The sequence below is a fragment of the Homo sapiens genome, chromosome 12 (assembly GCF_000001405.40).
Source record: "Homo sapiens chromosome 12, GRCh38.p14 Primary Assembly".
Lineage (NCBI taxonomy): Eukaryota > Metazoa > Chordata > Mammalia > Primates > Hominidae > Homo > Homo sapiens.
In genome coordinates this window covers 28,022,100-28,040,119 of record NC_000012.12, presented here as the reverse complement: position 1 = coordinate 28,040,119, position 18,020 = coordinate 28,022,100, and the positions used below count along the sequence as shown (strand labels likewise).

At 41.4% G+C, this 18,020-nt stretch overlaps 3 annotated features.

The window, feature by feature from the left end:
- Window positions 12,559-12,783: a silencer, noted in NCBI's record as "fragment chr12:28180270-28180494 (GRCh37/hg19 assembly coordinates)". NCBI's record gives its function as "represses an EF-1alpha promoter that drives an FKBP-Casp9 reporter gene in an ReSE screen in HepG2 liver carcinoma cells {active_cell/tissue: HepG2}" and the evidence as "EXISTENCE:reporter gene assay evidence [ECO:0000049][PMID:32094911]".
- Window positions 15,882-17,081: an enhancer, noted in NCBI's record as "BRD4-independent group 4 enhancer chr12:28175972-28177171 (GRCh37/hg19 assembly coordinates)". NCBI's record gives its function as "activates an origin of replication core promoter dependent on BRD2, P300/CBP, MED14 and CDK7 cofactors, and independent of BRD4, by STARR-seq in HCT116 cells {active_cell/tissue: HCT116}" and the evidence as "EXISTENCE:reporter gene assay evidence [ECO:0000049][PMID:35650434]".
- Window positions 16,638-16,838: a silencer, noted in NCBI's record as "peak1635 fragment used in MPRA reporter construct". NCBI's record gives its function as "represses an SCP1 promoter by STARR-seq MPRAs in K562 erythroleukemia cells {active_cell/tissue: K562}" and the evidence as "EXISTENCE:reporter gene assay evidence [ECO:0000049][PMID:32103011]".

Sequence of the window (18,020 nt, the reverse complement as noted above, 5' to 3'; positions counted from 1 at the left end):
TCTAGGGGTATGGCCCAAAGCAGCTCTCACTAGCAGTCTTGTATGAGACCTTAACATTTCACACCAGGTTTGATTTTTGCCTTCTTATTATATATGTGCCTTATTTGAATATGAAAAATGATTCAATTATCATTGAGTAAAATTGAATCTCCAGGAAGATGCATCAAATTATGATGTGTCATTTTATACCATTTATAAAGCTGTCACATTGAAAAAGTGGAACTAAGGAAAAAGATTTCAGGAATGTAGGGAATAACAGAAGAGAGCAGCCCTTGTTAGGTGCTGATAAGTAGATAAGTGAATTCCTGAAGAAATAATTACTGGATCTACGAAGCAGCCTAAAACTGAAAAACATCATTGGTAAATTAGACTGGCCAGAGGCCTTGGCCCCTAAGGCTTCATTCAACCTTAGGGATGACCTTCATCTGCTCCCAGCCCCAGACCCTGAGAGCCACCACTTGGGGCCAACCTGTTTCCTCAGTCCAGAAGAGAATGAGATAAAGGGGACATAGGCTCCAGATACTCCAAACTATAATCGAAGTGCAGTGGCCTGATCTTGGCTCACTGCAACCTCCACCTCTCGGGCTCAAGGGATTCTCCTGCCTCAGCCTCCAAGTAGCTGGGATTACAGGCACGTGCCACCACACCCAGCTAATTTCTGAATTTTTAGTAGAGACGGGGTTTTGCCATGTTGGCCAGGCTGGTCTCAAACTCCTGACCTCAAGTGATCTGCCCACCTCGGCCTCCCAAAGTGCTAGGATTACAGGCGTGAGCCATTGCGCTCAGCCCAGAGCCTGAGTTTCACAGCATGGCTAATGTTGATTCAAATCCCAGCTCTTTCTTTCAGAAACGATGTAACTTTGGGCACAATTGTTTCAATTTCCTCAGTGATAAAGGTGTAATGCTTATCTCACAGGACTCTTAAAGACTAACTGAGGTTAAACATTTAATAGGTGCACATAGTTGGTGCTTTCAAAACGATAAAAAGATTTCTTGATTTAGGAAGTGTACAATGATTTACAAAGAAAATAAAGCCCTTCTATTTCATATAACTAATCTAATACTTTAAATGAGCTCGCTCCCACACTGCTGGAGGTAGACTGAAATGAAGAGAAATGAAGAGCACACATTTGTCCACTGACCGTAACTTTTGCCTTTTAGGAGTCTTGGATGTGTGTTTAGCCTGTTGGTTTTAACTGCTGCCCATTGCAGAACGTCTGGTCAAGTCCCTGAAACAGTCACACTGGAGTCCACTGAGGGACGACGGCTGCCGAGCCTGCGGTCTGTACCCTGCTAAGTGGGCCTGATCAATGAGCAGCAAGGCTGTATCTCCTTGCAGCAAGCTCCCTCTGCATGTGAATGTCTCCATGCCAGAGTTCAAAATGCACAGTGAAATGAAGCAGCTTCTCTTATTTTGACCTTTCCTTGAATCTCTCTAAATGCATCCTTGATCGTTAACATTCAAGGCTTGCTTTTCCAAGTTGTCTCTCCTTCCCTCCACACCCATCAGGGCTGAATGGGGAGGCTCCCATCCACTTTCCTGTGGCCTCTTCCATGAGGCTCTTGAGCGCTATCCAGTCCTGGCTTATAGTACCTTAAAAGTCAACCTCTATGTAGATATGTAGCTACATCATGGATGTTTAGGAAATTTGAAAACATTTCCTCTGTAGATAAATTCTAGATTTCAAGACTATTGTCTTGCTGCGGTCTCAAAAATTCTGTTCCACTTGTCAAACGCTGGATATAGACTCCGCATTCTTGTGGTAATAATCCCAAACCTCCCTAATATAAATGGACGTCTCTGGCAAAACAGAGAGAAATACAAACAAGAAAAGCACACTGATAGATTTTAAAATATATATTATTCTCATGCGTTATTTCTTATTTCCAGAAAGGCAGTGTTTTATTCGGTAAGGAGGTTTCATAGCACTATATTATCAATACTGTGTTTTGTGTGGTGGGAGTTAAACTGGGTTTTATGTGCTGGCCTAGGAGTGTGATCATTATAAATAACATGATTTCTATGGGAAAATTTCTTGAGAGAGCCTAATAACTGACTTCCAAATGAATTTTTGGAACACAGATGGTTTGTAAGTTGAGAATGAACAGTATTCCACTTTAAAACCAAAAACTTCCCTGAGTTAAACAAAATGTAACCTAAGGAGGATGATTATCTTGGACTAGAAAAATTAATATTTCTAGTTTCTCTGTTTTTATAACTTACTTCCTTAGCTTTTTAGCACAAATATAATAGATCAGAGAGGCCAAATTTGAACTATAAACTAGAGGCTGTGGTGAATTAAATATATTTGCTTTGTTCTGCAGATGTTAAACACAATTCCCACAAAATTTGAAAGGTGGAGTTAATTCTGACTTCGATGAATCTAATGAGCATCTGTTCTGATTTTTCTAACCATTGATCTTATTTTCTTTTAACTTGATACTGTATGGTTTACACAAGTCCATGTGATAATTGCAAATAGCCAAAGGTGAAGTCATTCCAGAACCCCCCAAAACAGTTTTTTTTCTTAAAATGTCAAATGATTCTTTGAAGATATTTAACAATTTAATATGAGTGCAGAATATGTGACACATAAATACATTTACATTTATTTCTATAAATGTGTCTACACATAAATACATAACTAACTAAAGATTGAGATATTTCTTTCTATAAAAGAAAGATGTTTCTTTAACAAGGATATAGAAAATTATGAAATTCCATGTTATGAGATGAATTGTCTTCTTCCAAAATTCATATATTAAAGTCCTAACCCAGCGTACTTCATAATAAGACCACATTTGGAAATAGGGTCTTAAAGAGGTAATTAATTTAAAATGAGGTCATTAAGATGGGCCCTAATTCAATATGACTGGTGCTCTTACATGAAGAGGAAGTCTTGACACAGCCACATGTACAGAGGGAAGACCACATGAAGACAAAGGAAGAAGACAACCATCTACAAGCCAAGGAGAGCAGCCTCAGATGAAACCAGCCCTGACGATACCTTGATCTCCGACTTCTCACCTCCAACATTCTGAGACAATCAACTGCTATGGCATAAGCCCCTCAGACTAAGGTACTTTGTTACGGCAGCCCTAGCAAATCAACATGCTCCATAACCTAAAATTATGCCAAGAGGTACAAAACACAATTAAGGTTATTTGTTCTGCAGATGTTGAACAAAATCTGCACAATAGATATTTTATACTATATTAATAGATTGTAGGTTTTCAAATTAGGTTACATAGTGATATTTTGGAGTTCTGCAAATGCCTTAATTTAAATTTTACTCTAGGCTATATTTTAAATGTTTTAAAAATATATGTAAACATTCAAATATATTGGATATCAAAATTCAGTCCATTGCAGGCTTTCATTTCACTAACTTGCACTGCCCTGTTATACCATCATTGTGTAGATCTCAGAACAATGCTTCTCCTAATATCACTGTGTGTATATTTTAATTATCTGAAAATATCATCAGAACTACTGCAGTTTTGCAATAGTATTTTTAAAAATAGCATCCTGCCTAAAATGTCTATGTTTGGTAGTAATTCTTTAACTTTATCCCATTAAATAAAGATTAATGGATTATCAAAATAAATTACATATCTTTATAAGAAAACCTGGAAAAGCAGTAGGAAGAAACATTCCCATAACCTTGCCTATAAGTGATATTAGTGATTTTCTCTGTAATTTCTTGTTTGACAATTTTGTTTTTGTTTTGAGACAGAGTCTCACTCTGTCGCCCAGGCTGGAGTGCAGTGGCACAACCTCGGCTCATTGCAACCTCCGCCTCTCGGGTTCAAGTGAGTCTCCTGCCTCAGCCTCCCTAGTAGCTGGGATTACAGGTGCATGCCACCATGCTCGGCCAATTTTTGTATTTTAGTAGAGATGGGGTTTCACTATGTTGGCCAGGCTGATCTTGAACTCCTGACCTCAAGTGATCTGCCTGCCTCAGCCTCCCAAAGTGCTGGAATTACAAGCATGAGCCACGACACCCAGCGACAATTTTTTTTTATCGTTAGAGTATTAAGACATGCATATACTGATAATTAAAACTAAAAATATATAATTTCTGGGAGTAAAGTTAATATGTAATATGCTTATTAAGAAACATTCTGAAAATGTAGAAAGTAGCAAAGGAGAGAATAAAAATAACTTAGAATTATAAACACCCACATGTAAATGCAGTCCTGCATGTATATTTGCTTATTACATAAAGTTATGGGCATGCTCTTTCTGTGCAGATTGTTGAGGAGATGTATGCCACACACAAATAAATCTCAAATAAGGCTCTGGTGTGTGTGTTCAGTGCATGCCCTTACATATAATAATCAATTATATAAAAAGAAGAGACTACCATGACATGCTGAGTCATGGTGACATCATGTTAAAGACAGCTTTGGCACATAATGTAAGCTCCCTGTGTGATTTATGTATGTAGCATAAGAAAAGTAAGCAGTTGATACGTATTATTAGCAGTTAAATTTTCAAACAAAAATGTCCTAGTAATCCTCTTTCAAATGTTTATATCAGTTTAATTAAAGACAACCTTAAGGTTGCAAGGGAAGCTGCTTTAAAAAAACTGACACTATTTGCATCTCAAGATTTCCTCAATACAAACAATAACCGGATGTTGATGCAAATTTGCAGTAATTATCTACAAGCTTTGTGTCAGTGTTTTTGTTCTTAATGTATAGTCCCATGACTATCCTTAACTGACTTTATAGTAAGGAAATATTTTACACTAGTTAAACACTGGTTTCATCCTATCATTTCAACCTAAGATTTAATTTTTTAAAAAAAATGTGAAAACCACTGATGTAGAGGAACAAGTAAAGGAACTAGGATCTTTAGTCTAGAGAAGAAAAAGTTAAAGGGGAACATGTAAGCGGCCTTCATATATCTGAAAGAGAAGTTTGCTTCAGAAAGTAGGAGAGTGAATTGATGACGGTGCAGAGGGACAAATCTTAGCACAATACAATCTAAGGAAGAACTTTGTCATGATTACTCCTTTCTGCAAGTAAAGGGTTGCCTTGTGGGCTCCCAAGAACCCCATCATGGGAGATATTCAAGTAAAGTTTGGGTCTTTAAGGAGACTGTACGAGAGTCCTCCTTGGGAAAATCATTAGCTCCAATTCAGAGCTCAGAATTTCTTTCTGCTCTTAGAGAAGAAAGAAAGCCTGTTGGCCCTCTCTTTTAGGGATTTAAAAGAAAACCTGTAAATTTTCTGTACTCTTAATCATGTAAACCAGAAGATTAAAGTCACAGATAGCCAGAATGCTCCACCTGATACAGCAGAGTTCTATGGCACAGAGCAACTTTATAAAAGCTCTCTCCTTAGATGGGGATAAAGTGGTGCTTGGAAACACTAAGCTTCAGAAATTGGGGTTTGCAAGTAGGAAAAACAAGAGAAGGGATTCAAGAAATTACAACCTGAAGGGGGAAATAATAATTTTGAGTTGACTTACATAAGAACACTTTACATGCTCAGGCTTATACAACTAAAAAGGGAAGCAGGGAAGCCCTGTCAATGAGGATGCTCCCAAGCCTACCCTAATATTAATGGCTTATTCAAGCTCTTGAATATTTACTTTGGGAAAAAGCTGAGGCATGCCCATTGCAAACTGTGACTTACTGTTGAAGTCATCCATGACAGGCAATATAACATGATCATTAGCAGTGTACCCTCTGAAGCCTGACTTCCTGGATTCAGAGCCTGGTCCTACCTAGAAAGAGACCAACTCATCCCAGTTCGCCAAGGACTTAGCCAGTCTTAACTCTGGAAGTTTCATATTTTGAGAGCCCTCTCCAGCCTCAAGTAAACTAGAGGAGTTCACTGTGGTAGCTCTACAACTGGCCAGTTGGGAGAACTTGTATAAGGTCCCTAAATTCTGTGGGAGCAATAAATATACCTACCTCATAGAGTGGCTCTGAGGATAAAATGAGTTATAAATATAAATTGTGTAGAACATGGTCACTCAGTAAACAGGAGTGGTTTTTAGTATCTGTGATCTGTTCAGCCAGCAATGTGACCTTAAGTAACATGAAAGTTCTAGTGTGTGTTTACATGCAACTATTTAAAACAAGCCCCCTCCCTGTTTTCATCATGGTCCTACTAATAGCCCAATTACTAGCCATTAAAAAAAAAAGGATGCTCTCCATCATTTAAATCCATAGACTTAAATCCGCATATAAACTTCATGTACATTGCTTAAATCCACTGATCAGAAGACTATATCCAGGAATTTCAGGAAAGTGCTTCATCTGTAGAAGATACAATGGGTCTCAGAATCACCTGAAACAGCCCTGAGTAGGATGTTGGAGGATGGGGAAAAGGGAGCAGAAATGATAGATTATTCAGCAGGATGAATCAGAATGATGACACAGATCCATGCAAATGCTAACAGCAGAGACACACTAAGTAAAAGGCCTGGGAATAATGCAGTGATCGGTTTCATCATTTATACCACGTTTGATATTCAACATGAAAAGAAAAAATATAAAATGTAGAGTATTTACACCTAACTACCACTGGGCAAGGACATTCCTTTACCACCTAAAAAGTACCTTCATCATATATGGGGGAGAGACCGACAGTGGGAGACCACACCTTGCCAGAATCATCAAGGGTATCTCATTTGCTTTGAAGTGACACCACCAGACCCACAGCCACCATGCCACTATTTCTACTTTAACTAAAGTGGGCTGGATGATCTTTGAATGTCCTCAGGGGAAAAAAAAAGTGGGGGAGAGAGTTTGCTGATTCAGAGCTTAAAAAGTTAGTAACAGTCACTAAAATAAAGCAGGTTAGGACAGGTTGCTGAAGACCCAAATATGTGTGGACAAGATCCCATAAAGCACATTTCCTGGAGGCCTGGATCCTGCTTCCTGCCTTCTAAGCAGCTGGTGTGGGGTGTGTGGGGCAGGGGTGTTATGTTCCCAAGCATCCCCCTACCACCAATCCTTCTCAGACAGGAAGTTTGCAAGTTGCTAGGCTTTGAAAGTATTGTTCCTTGAGATGATCCAGAGGTAACAGACCACATCAATTTTGTTCTTTCACGGAGTAGTTCTATTTATTCACCCTGGAGATGGGTTTAGACAAAAGAAAACCTTAGTCAACTGGAGCCTGACTTACCACAACCATCAATTAACATTTTTGCTTTTCATTTAGCTTCCACGAGAAATGAAGTGAATCACAAGAAAGTCATTTGACATTAGGGATTCATCTTTTTAACCAACCAGTTCCCAGGTCTAACCAGGTATTCGCAAGTATTCTTTTCTGACTCATCTTGTTTATCTTCTATATTTATTATCAAGTTAAAAATGTGAATTTATGCTCAGATCAGTGATCCTGTAGCATAAAGTGGTGTGAAATATCCAGAATGATTTCTACTAAAAGGTTTTTACTTACCTTGCAATCAAAGAGTGTACTAGCCTTTCAGAATAGGGAGGAAACTTAGAGATAGCATGTGTGCTTCTCACCTGGTTCATGCCCCTTCACTCTCCAGGGTGTCCTGGTTTGAACAACAAATTATTTGCTCACCACACAGACCATCTATCTCAGTGCTTTTAAGACAATGTTAGCCGCAAAATCCTTTTTTCAAACTAAATCCTACACAGCGCTCTAATATATAGACAGGGTGACTGGACATCCCAGTTTGACCAGAACAACAGAGGGGTTTTAGAATTAAGGACTTTAAGGCAAGAATTGGGACAGTCCCTGGTAAAACAGGTAGGTCAGTCACCCAGTTACAGACTACACAAAAGCTCTGTTTTGTCAGTGTAATTATATTTTGTAAATACAAATTCATAATACTCATTTATTATTAACTCAATCAATGAAAAAATAAGGCCGTTTTAATAACCACAAAAAAGAATGATATTGAGAATGAGGGTAGCATTCTTATATAAGCCTCAGCATCCAGCTAGTTTTTTAACTCATTTTGGTTTCATAGTACTGGGGAAATTGATTCACATGAAGTAGTCATGAATGATAGCTTGTTGCTGATATTTTAGCAGTCCCCTTTATAAGCTCAGAATTCTTTCTAATTAGACCAACCAAGAGGCTTATAAGAGGAAAAGCAGGCTGGGCACGGTGGCTCACGCCTGTAATCTCAGCACTTTGGGAGGCCAAGGCAGGCGAATCACGAGGTCAGGAGATTGAGACCATCCTGGCCAACATGGTAAAATCCCGTCTCTACTAAAAATACAAAAATTAGCCAGGCGTGGTGGCGTGTGCCTGTAGTCCCAGCTACTCAGGAGGCTGAGGCAGGAGAATCGCTTGAAGCGGGAGGCAGAGGTTGCAGTGAGCCGAGATCATGCCACTGCACTCCAGCCTGGTGACAGAGTGAGACTCCATCTCAAAAAAAAAAAAAAAAAAAAAAAGCAGGCTGTTTTCACGTCAAATCACTAACCATATCTAACATATTCTTTATGACAAATGCAAAAGTCATATAAGAAGCATCAAAATTTATGAAGGGCATAAAAACTCTCTATTATATGACATACATATGTGTATGTGGTATGTGACATGCTAGTGGCCCACTTTTTATTGCTCAACTCTCCCAACATCAGATATTAAAGCACCTGAGCCTGTCTGGCTTTCTTGCCGTTTAATTAAGGCTCTCACATCTGTTCTACAATAGTGTAGTGTCCTGTACAATTCTGCACTGGGGATACATGTGTAGGCCTGAATTGTAAGAAACACCAGCACTCTTAATCAATATTAATACATTTGCAAGAAAATGTGGCAGAAGAAACTTTGTCCCATGTCTATACAAAGCAAAGTTAAACAGGTAGCACAAATTGAAAAGTTGTCAGTGTGTTGCATGTTGACATGTAGCATATCTTTGCTTGTTATTTTTAATAATCAACACACTTTAAAATGATATTCCAATTATGTCTTTGCAGAACTGGGTTTCAGAAAGTGCAAAAGTAGTGACGATAGGGAACACTTCTCTTTTTTTTCTTGAGACGGAGTCTCGCTCTGTCGCCCGGGCTGGAGAGCAGTGGCGCGATCTCAGCTCACTGCAAGCTCCGCCTCCTGGGTTCAGGCCATTCTCCTGCCTCAGCCTCCCGAGTAGCTGGGACTACAGGCAAGTGCCACCATGCCTGGCTAATTTTTTGTATTTTTAGTAGAGATGGGGTTTCACTGTGTTAGCCAGGATGGTCTCCATCTCCTGACCTCGTGATCTGCCCGCCTTGGTCTCCCAAAGTGCTGGGATTACAGGAGTGAGCCACCGCGCCTGGCCAACACTTCTCTTTTTTATTATTTTTTATTTTAAGTTCAGAGGTACATGTGGAGGATGTGCCAGTTTGTTACATAGTTAAATGTGTGCCATGGTGGTTTGCAGCACAAATCATCCCATCACCTAGGTATTAAGCCCAGCATCCATTAGCTATTCTTTTTGATGCTCTCCCTCCTCCCCAAAGTCCACCCTCTGACAGGCCCCAGTGGGTGTTTTCCCCACCATGTGTCCATGTGTTCTCATCATTCAGCTTTCACTTATAAATGAGAACATGCAACATCTGGTTTTCTATTCCTGCGTTAGTTTGCTGAGGATAGTGGCCTTAGCTTCATCCATGTCCCTGCAAAGGACATGATCTCGTTCCTTTTTATGCCTGCATGGTATTCCACAGTGTATAAGTACCACATTTTCTTTATCCAGTCTACCATTGATGGGCATTTAGGTTGACTCCATGTCTTTGCTATTGTGAATAATGCTGCAATGAACATACACATGCATAATGAATAAGTTTCGTAAAATAATAATTTATATTCCTTTGGGCACATACCTAGTAATGGGATTGCTGGGTCAAATGGTATTTCTGCCTCCGGGTCTTTGAGGAATTGCCACATTGTCTTCCACAGTGGTTGAACTAATTCACACTCCCACCAACAGGAACGCTTCTTTGTGTAGCATTTATTGGATGTCAGGCTCTAAATATTAACTCATTTAGTCCTCACAACAATCTATGAGATAGGTTTTAAATCTATTCAATCAAAACTGCAGTGCTGGGCTAAGTGATTTGCTGAAGGTCACAAAGCTGTGAAATAACACTGCCAGACTTGAGCTTACACAAGCTGGATCCAGGTCTCTGTTCATAGTCACTAAACTTGACACTACACTCACCTCGGTATAAAAACCCTGCTCCAATGTGTTTTATAGACCAGGAAACCTGCTCCTGAAAAGTTATGGGACTAGACCAAGCCCATGAAATTTGTAAATGGCAGAAGGTCAGGAACCTGCCTTCCCAAAGCCCACTTCAAAGTCCTCTCTCCCACACCTGGACATCCCTCAGGGTGCTCTGTCTAACCCACCTGTACAGACATCAATAACAGATTTCAGTTCTGCGCTCCCTGTGCCCTGCCTCTGGGTAGCAAAGGTTTTCTAATGCGTGGGGTATTGCTTTATGAGCATTTGCTCAGCAGGACACACGGATGCACACTCCACAGCCCCGACAGACAGAGAGTAAGTGAACAAGATCCTGATTCCATTAAAAGAATAAAGAGAGCCTCTTTCCTTGTACAGATTATCTCAGCTATAAAGGATCTAAGGATCTGTTTACAATTACACAAATGTTGCCTGTTTTGTTCCAGACAGGGCTCTTTAAAACATCATAAGCAAGCCGCAAGGGCCCAGAGGGTGGCCCCATTTCTCCCTGAGTATTAAACAACTCTGTGAGCTTCTAGAGTACAAGAGGGACTCCTTTCATCAGTAGCTACAGAGAAGAAAACATCTACCAGTTTGGTGCATATGACTGAATTACAGTTCGAATATACCCCAAAAAACAGACTGATGGAAAATCACAACTGCCTTTACACATGCATGCCATTCTCTCCTTAATTGATGTGTTACTAAAATTTGATTTAAGACTAGATACAATACTTTCATCTCTAATACTTTCCGAAGAAACATTACAAATGGTGAGATTCCCAAACTATCTTCTTTCCAAATGCATTCAGTCCCTGTTAGGTGAAATACTACATATTTGCAATCAAAAAGAGAAAATGATATTGTACAATATATTGTCTTCAAAATAGCAGAGGTACTGTATATTTAAAACTATACTTTATAAATATACTTTAAAAATAAACACATATAGTAATTTCTGGAACATATTGAGACATTGTAACTAAACAATGTTGAAAGCATAATTAAATAACTGTTCTTAGTTATCTTTAATCCTAACGCCTGTGGGAAAACCAGATTTAATTACAGAAGACAAGACGGTAGGTAGCAGTAGTAGTGCTGAAAGGAGCTTCTGGGCACTTTCAAGAGCTGAGAATAGGAGAGTGCGTTGGTTCTCCGTGTCTAATTTTACTTCTAAACAGAGGCTGTCCTTTTCTTTCTTGTCGGAGGCAAATCAGTAATAATGGTCATTTGCTGCCTCGCACTGTCTTCTCCAGCACGCTGCCTCCTTCGCTGTGGCTCCAGTCCCCACCGACTCTTAGTGAGGTCACATGCTGGCCATGGGTGAGGCAGGGTGGCCTCACACAGACACATCTCATGGCACTTTCAGAGGCTGCAGATGCCTGCTCAGAGCCTCGTTCTAGGGCCAGAGGTTATAGCACTAACTAGGGGCTGGACAGGGGCCACAGTGCTGCCTGCATGACCGCTGGCCCTGACCGTGTTGGCCCCACCCACCACCTTACCCCGAGGCAGTATCCACAGTCGGTGAACAAGAATGTTCTATCTTTATATTTGCAGGGTAAGAAGACAGGTATTAAAAAAAAAATCACCCTCAATAAAAAGCAACGATTCTTGCTCCACAGAAGAAAAATATGAGAAAAACATAGGCACTGAGTATAGATTTCATAAAGAGAGTAGACTAACTTCCATGACCCAAGACCCAGAACAAATCCTCTGACTCACACACTTAGTTTGATGATCCTTCTGTTCAATGTGGCTTCCTCTAGGAAGCTGCCTTGCCCCTCTGTGGCAGATAAGGGCCCTCTCAACTTCTCACTTGGCACCTAATCATAGTTTCCCTCACTCTGTCTCAGAACCCCAACCTGCTCATCCTCCTCACTGGACCTTGGAATGTGGTGGTTAGGAGCATGCACTTTAGATCCAGCATAATCTGAATTCTGGTCTGCCCATCCGAGCTGGTCTGACCTTCTATTAAATCTCAATTCCTTTATCTGTAAAATGAGGAGACAAATAATTTCTTACCTTATAGGTTTATTGTTACTAACATATTATAATAGTTATTTAAGTTCCTGGAATAATTATTTAAGTTCCTGGCTGTATCCCCAGCTCCTATCATGGTGTTCAGCCCAGAGAGTGTGTTCAATAAATATTAATTAATTGAATCAACGAACAACGCTCAGCTAAGGAAGGGAGGATAGCACCAGATATGGAATGATGTCTTCACCCAGGCAGCTGCTGCTAAGAAACAGTTAAGTTGCCCCGAAGGTTTTCTGAGAACTTGATGCTTCCTCTGATTTTCAGGATGATAAGTGGTCCCTGCTATTTCAAGTGTGGCAGGGCACCCTTGCTCTGTGAAGTGCCATTTCACAAACAGGCTACCATCTGCTGCAATGATAAAAACGTTTGGCGTTAAATTTGCTGTGGTTGTCAGTATTGACGTGCCTGATATTTAGAACACTTACTTTTTTATGGAGCTGATCTGGGAGCACAGAAAGCTTCTGGGAAAACTGCCCTACATAGCTGCCCTTTACAGGCAGAACAGCTGTGCCGCAGTTTTACTGTTCTGAGGCTGATAATAGGGAATTGAAGTATCCTAAGAGCCAGGCTCCATTTCAGAGCCCTTGTAGGTTGCTATTCCAGGGCAGTGCACACCCCATCTGCCCTAGCTTTCCAGCTTTGTTTTGATTTTAGTTCATCACATTGCACGTCAATGTTAAGTTTTTAAATGTTAAGTTTTAACTTTTTAAAGTACCATAGTGGATATACATCTCGGTTCACAAGTCTGACGTGCAAGAAAGATGTTTCCTTGAGTATTTTTTCTTATTAACAACTTCATTTCTACTTAGAGTTCCTATTTCTTGGAAGCCGCAGAAATTTGATTATTCGTTCAGTCTGAATCCTTTTTCTCAAGGGTTGCAATGGAAGATTTGAGGATTCAACAATGTCAAGCTGGTGTGGAGTCTGGGATGTGCCTGGTTCTCCATGCGTCTGTCTTTGCCGAGTCATCTGTGGGCCCTCAGGCATGGATCCTCCAGCTCACTTGGCCACTTCCGGTGCCACCCTTTGGAGGAGGGGAATCATTCTGTGGTTTTCTGGCTAGGGTAGAGTGTGGGATTCTCAGTGAGGCTCTCTATGGCCTTGTTTGCCAAGGCTCACTGCAGAGCCATTTCCTTTCTAAAGCTGTGTGACCTCCAGGGGTGGGGGTCCAGGCACATGTCCTTTAGAGAAGGTGAGTTTTAGAGCTCACCTGTCAAGGAGGCTGTGCGGGCCCTGCTGTCAAGGACCACTGCCTCAATACCCCCACCCTTGCCCCATCTTTCCTGGGGTCAATCCAGGTGACAATCTGGAGAAACCTAATATTCATCAAACTCTCAACAATTTAAATAATTCCAGAGTCCTTGCCATTTCCCTAAGGCTGTGGGGTTTTGAAACAGAGAGAGAGAGAGAGAGAGAGAGACTCCCTTTTTTCTCTCCTTTGTGCTCTGCCACATTCTTGCCCTGTGGCCAGGAGAACAGGCCAGGAGTAGGAAGAGAAAAGTGGAAATTGTGGAGGGCAGATGGAGAAGGGAGGTGGGCATCTGTTAATATTTCAAAAATGATCTAGCCACAGTACACTCATTGGTCTCATTTAACTGTCACGACAGCTGTGTGAGTAGAAGACCTCACTTTTCAGGCGAGGAAGCTGAGACTTAGAAAGGCTAAGTCATCTGTTCAGTGCCAGTCTGGCACTGTTTTGTTTTTTACTGGGAAGGTGGCAGAACGGAAACCCAGTCTCCACACCCCACATGCAGTGCTCTTTCTGCCACACACTGCGTTCCAGGTGAACTGGACTCCTCGCTGTCTTCATTCACAGCTTCTTCCTGCATATCTTTGCGCCTTTCTCCATGCTCTGGAATGTTCCCCTCACCATCACCACCTGTCAGAGTCCTCCCCATCATACATTCCAGAAGGCTTTTCTCGTCACTTGCGGCAGCAGTGACTTCTCCCTCCAAAACCTTTGGACAGCGGCTCCCCTCACGCTGCCTCTGCTATGCTGCTCTGTCAGGGTCATGTGTGCTCAGATCTTATTGCACCCACAATTTTTTTTTGACAGAGTCTGGCTCTGTCTCCCAGGCTGGAGTGCAATGGTGCGATCTCAGCTCACTGCAGCCTCTGCTTCCTAGGTTCAAGTGATTCTCATGCCTCAGCCTCCCAAGTAGCTGGGATTACAGGCATGCACCACCATGCCTGGCTAATGTCTGTATTTTTGTTAATAGTAGAGAGGAGGCTTTGCCATGTTGGCCAGGCTGGTCTTGAATGCCTGGCCTCAAGTGATCCGCCTGCCTCGGCCTCCCAAAGTGCTGGAATTACAGGTGTCAGCCACCGCACCTGCCCCTAGACTGCAAGCTCTTTGAACCCAGGAACCCTATCTTATTTTCTTTAAAAGAATGAACAAATGAATGGATGGGTGGGTGAGTGGAAATAGGTGCTCCATGACTCCAAAGAGAAAGGAAGAGTCTTGGCAGCCTTACATCTCAAGTCAGGCCATAGGATGAGCTCTCGAATTACAGGGCAAGACGGATGGGAAGAAGCCCTGCGAACTAGTTGGCTAGTCTAGAAGAATGTTGGCAGCATATGTATTGAAGAGAAAAAAAAAACAGAATCATGGACAGTCAAAAAAGGTCTTCACCCTAGACAGGATGGTCCTTCCAAGTGAGGAGTGTTCATATGTCTACCACTGGTTATTCCTCCTGAATTCTCTGTCCACATAAATGCAGAAATAACAGGGCCTGAGCATGAGCTGATGTGAAACAATCACCTCGCAGGGTCATTTTGAGGAAAACAGTGTAATAATATTATTACACTAGCTTCCACTTACTGGGGGTCTATGGTCTACCAAGCTTATGCTTAAGATTGTGAAAAAGGCCAGGCACGGTGGCTCATGCCTCTAATCCTGGTACTTTGGGAGGCTGAGGCGTGAGGATGGTTTGAGGCCAGGAGTTCAAGACCAGCCTGGGCAACGTAGCAAAACCCCATCTCTACAAAAAATACAAAAATTAACCTGGCATGTTGGTGTGTGCCTGTAGTCCCAGCTACTCAGGAGACTGAGGCAAGAGGATCACCTGAGCCTGGAAGATTGAGACTGCAGTGAGCTGTGATTGCATCACTGCCCTCCAGCCTGGGCAACAGAGCAAGACCCTGTCTCAAAACAAAACAAAAAAAAAAAGGATTGTGAAAGAAAAAATTCTCAGTTTCACTTATCAACAGTTAAAGATTTAAAAATAGCTATTAGGGGCTGCTTTAACGACTTCTAAGCATCAGCATGGAAGAAGATGTTCAAAATAACAACAGGGAAAATTTGAATTTGTGAGAGTGGAAGGAGGCATACAGATATTTTCTAAGTGGCCTGCAGAAAGACTTCGTGGTTACCCTGTAGGAAGACTAAAGAAAATAAGTAGTTGGTTGCTAAGCACCATCTTTCCATCAGCATATCTCCACACTCAATGACATCATACAAAACAAGATTCATTCTTATGAGCCATGAGCTAAAGGCTTGTCTGAGGGAAGTTCATCCCAGATGCCTAGCATATCAGGAATTTATTTAGCCAACTGGTAGGTGGTTGATCAACTTGAACCATGGTTACAACCAGATGTATACAACCACATGCTATGTCAGAAAAGGTGAGTCTTAACTGGTTAATTATAATTTCTCCTTTTCTTTTAAATGAAGTACCAGGTAATAATTTTTAAAAGGTACACCAAGTTTATGCTAGGGCTTTTCTTTCCACAGTTTAAAGAGGGAATAGACTATGACAGGGAGAACATTTTAGATAAATAAATGATGTGTGTAAATTTCCCCCATTTGTTTTAATCTTCTTCCTACACGCTATCCGGCAGTCCATCCCACCTGTCCCAAACGGTGGGACAGGCTGCAGGCTACATTCTTCCACCTTTCATGGTGTCTTGCCTTGGTAATTGCTGTTCCCTTAAAATAGAGCAATGAAATCAATGCTATGTGGGCAACTGACAATGAGGAATCTCTCATATTTCCCAGAACGAAGAAAATCTTAGCCATAGGGGTAAGATTGTGTTGAGCCAGATACTATGTCAAACATTGAAAATATAAAAACACAAACATTAGTAAATAAGCTACAGCCCCATTTTTCCCAGGTGGCCTCTAAAATGCACCTCCCCTACCCCCCACAGTGATCTCCACCTCCTGGTATTCATGCCTTTGTGTAATTTCCTGGTTTTGAGCATGAGCTGGACCTAGTGACTCACTTCTAATGAACAGAATAAGTCGAAAATGATGAGCTGTCACTTCCGACATTAGAGGGCAAAAAAATCTGTGGCTTCTGGCTTTGGCCTCCCCTCTCACTCTCCCACTGGCTTGTTCTGAGGGAAGTGAGCTGCCATGTTGTGAGCTGCCCTGTTGTGAGCTGCCCTACAGAGGGGCCCATGTGGCAAGGAACTGATGTCTCCGGTCAACAGCAGCAAGGGCCTGATGCCTGCCAACAGTCACTTGAGCGAGCTTGGAAGTGTATCCTCCCCAGTTGAACTCTAAGATGACTGCAGCCCTGTTGAATATCTTAGTTGAAGCCTTGTGAGAAACCCTGAGTCACAGTGATAGAGTTTGGATGTGTGTCCCCACCCAAATCTCATATTGAAATGTAATCCCCAGTGTTGGAGGTGGGGCCTGGTGGGATGTGATTGGATCATGGGGCAGATTTCTCATGAATGATTTAACGCCATCCCCTTGGTGCTGTCCTCATGATAGTGAGTGTGTTCTCATGACATCTGGTCATTTAAAAGTGTGTGGCACCTCCCCTCCCACTCTCTTGCTCCTGCTTTCCCCAGGTGACGTGCAAGCTCCAGCTTTGCCTTCTGCCACGATTGTAAGCTTTCAGAGGCCTCCCCAGAAGTAGATGCCAGTGTTAGGCTTTTTGTACAGCCTATGGAACTATGAGCCAATTAAACCTATCTTCTTATAAATGACCCAGTCTCAGAAATTTCTTTATAGCAATGCAAGAACAGACTAATACACACAGGCACCCAAATAATCTGCATCCAGGTTTCTGATCCACAGAAACTAAGAAAATAAATGTTAGTTGTTTTAAGCCACCAAGTTTTGGGGTAATCTGTTCTGCAGCAATAGCTAACTAATGGGGTAATAGTTATAGAAACAAAGAGTAACCCGCATCCACAATGTCTTTATTATGTGTCTGAAACTGGACTAGATGTTTAACATGCATCATTTCATTTATTTCTCACAATGCTATGAGATATTATCGTTATCCCCGTCTTACAGGTAAGAAAACTGAGACATAAAGAGGCTGCTTGACTTATTCAAGGTTGCACTGCTAATAAATGGAAGAGCTAGGACTGAAGCCCATGTCTGATTTAAGAGTCCTTGCTCCAAAATCAATGAATACCTCCTCCCAGGCACATGCAATGAGCTTCATGCAACAGAGAAAGTGTATAATTCCCCAGGTGACCAAGGGAGAGAGTCAGGCATTAATGCCTGAAGGTTTTAGAGAAGTTTTTGTGTTTATGTTGGGTCTAGAAGAATAAGAAGCTGATCAGACCTCTAAAAATTGAAAGTCCATTATAAGACTTGCCTAAGCGGACTGTCATGTTCAAAGGCATATGAGGTAGAAAAATCTCTTCAAATTTCAGAACTTCTGGTATAAAGTTCAAAGCTATGGGAGATGAGGCCATGTAAATAAATAAGGCTAGATTGCAAAAGGGTTTTCTCCTGTTAAAAACACAAATTTTTAATTGGGTTACTCTTCCTTTATCTTTCAGCTCTTAAATATAAATATTAATTCAAAATCATGTCCAAAAAAACACAATTTAAATTTCCAGATCGTGTAAGT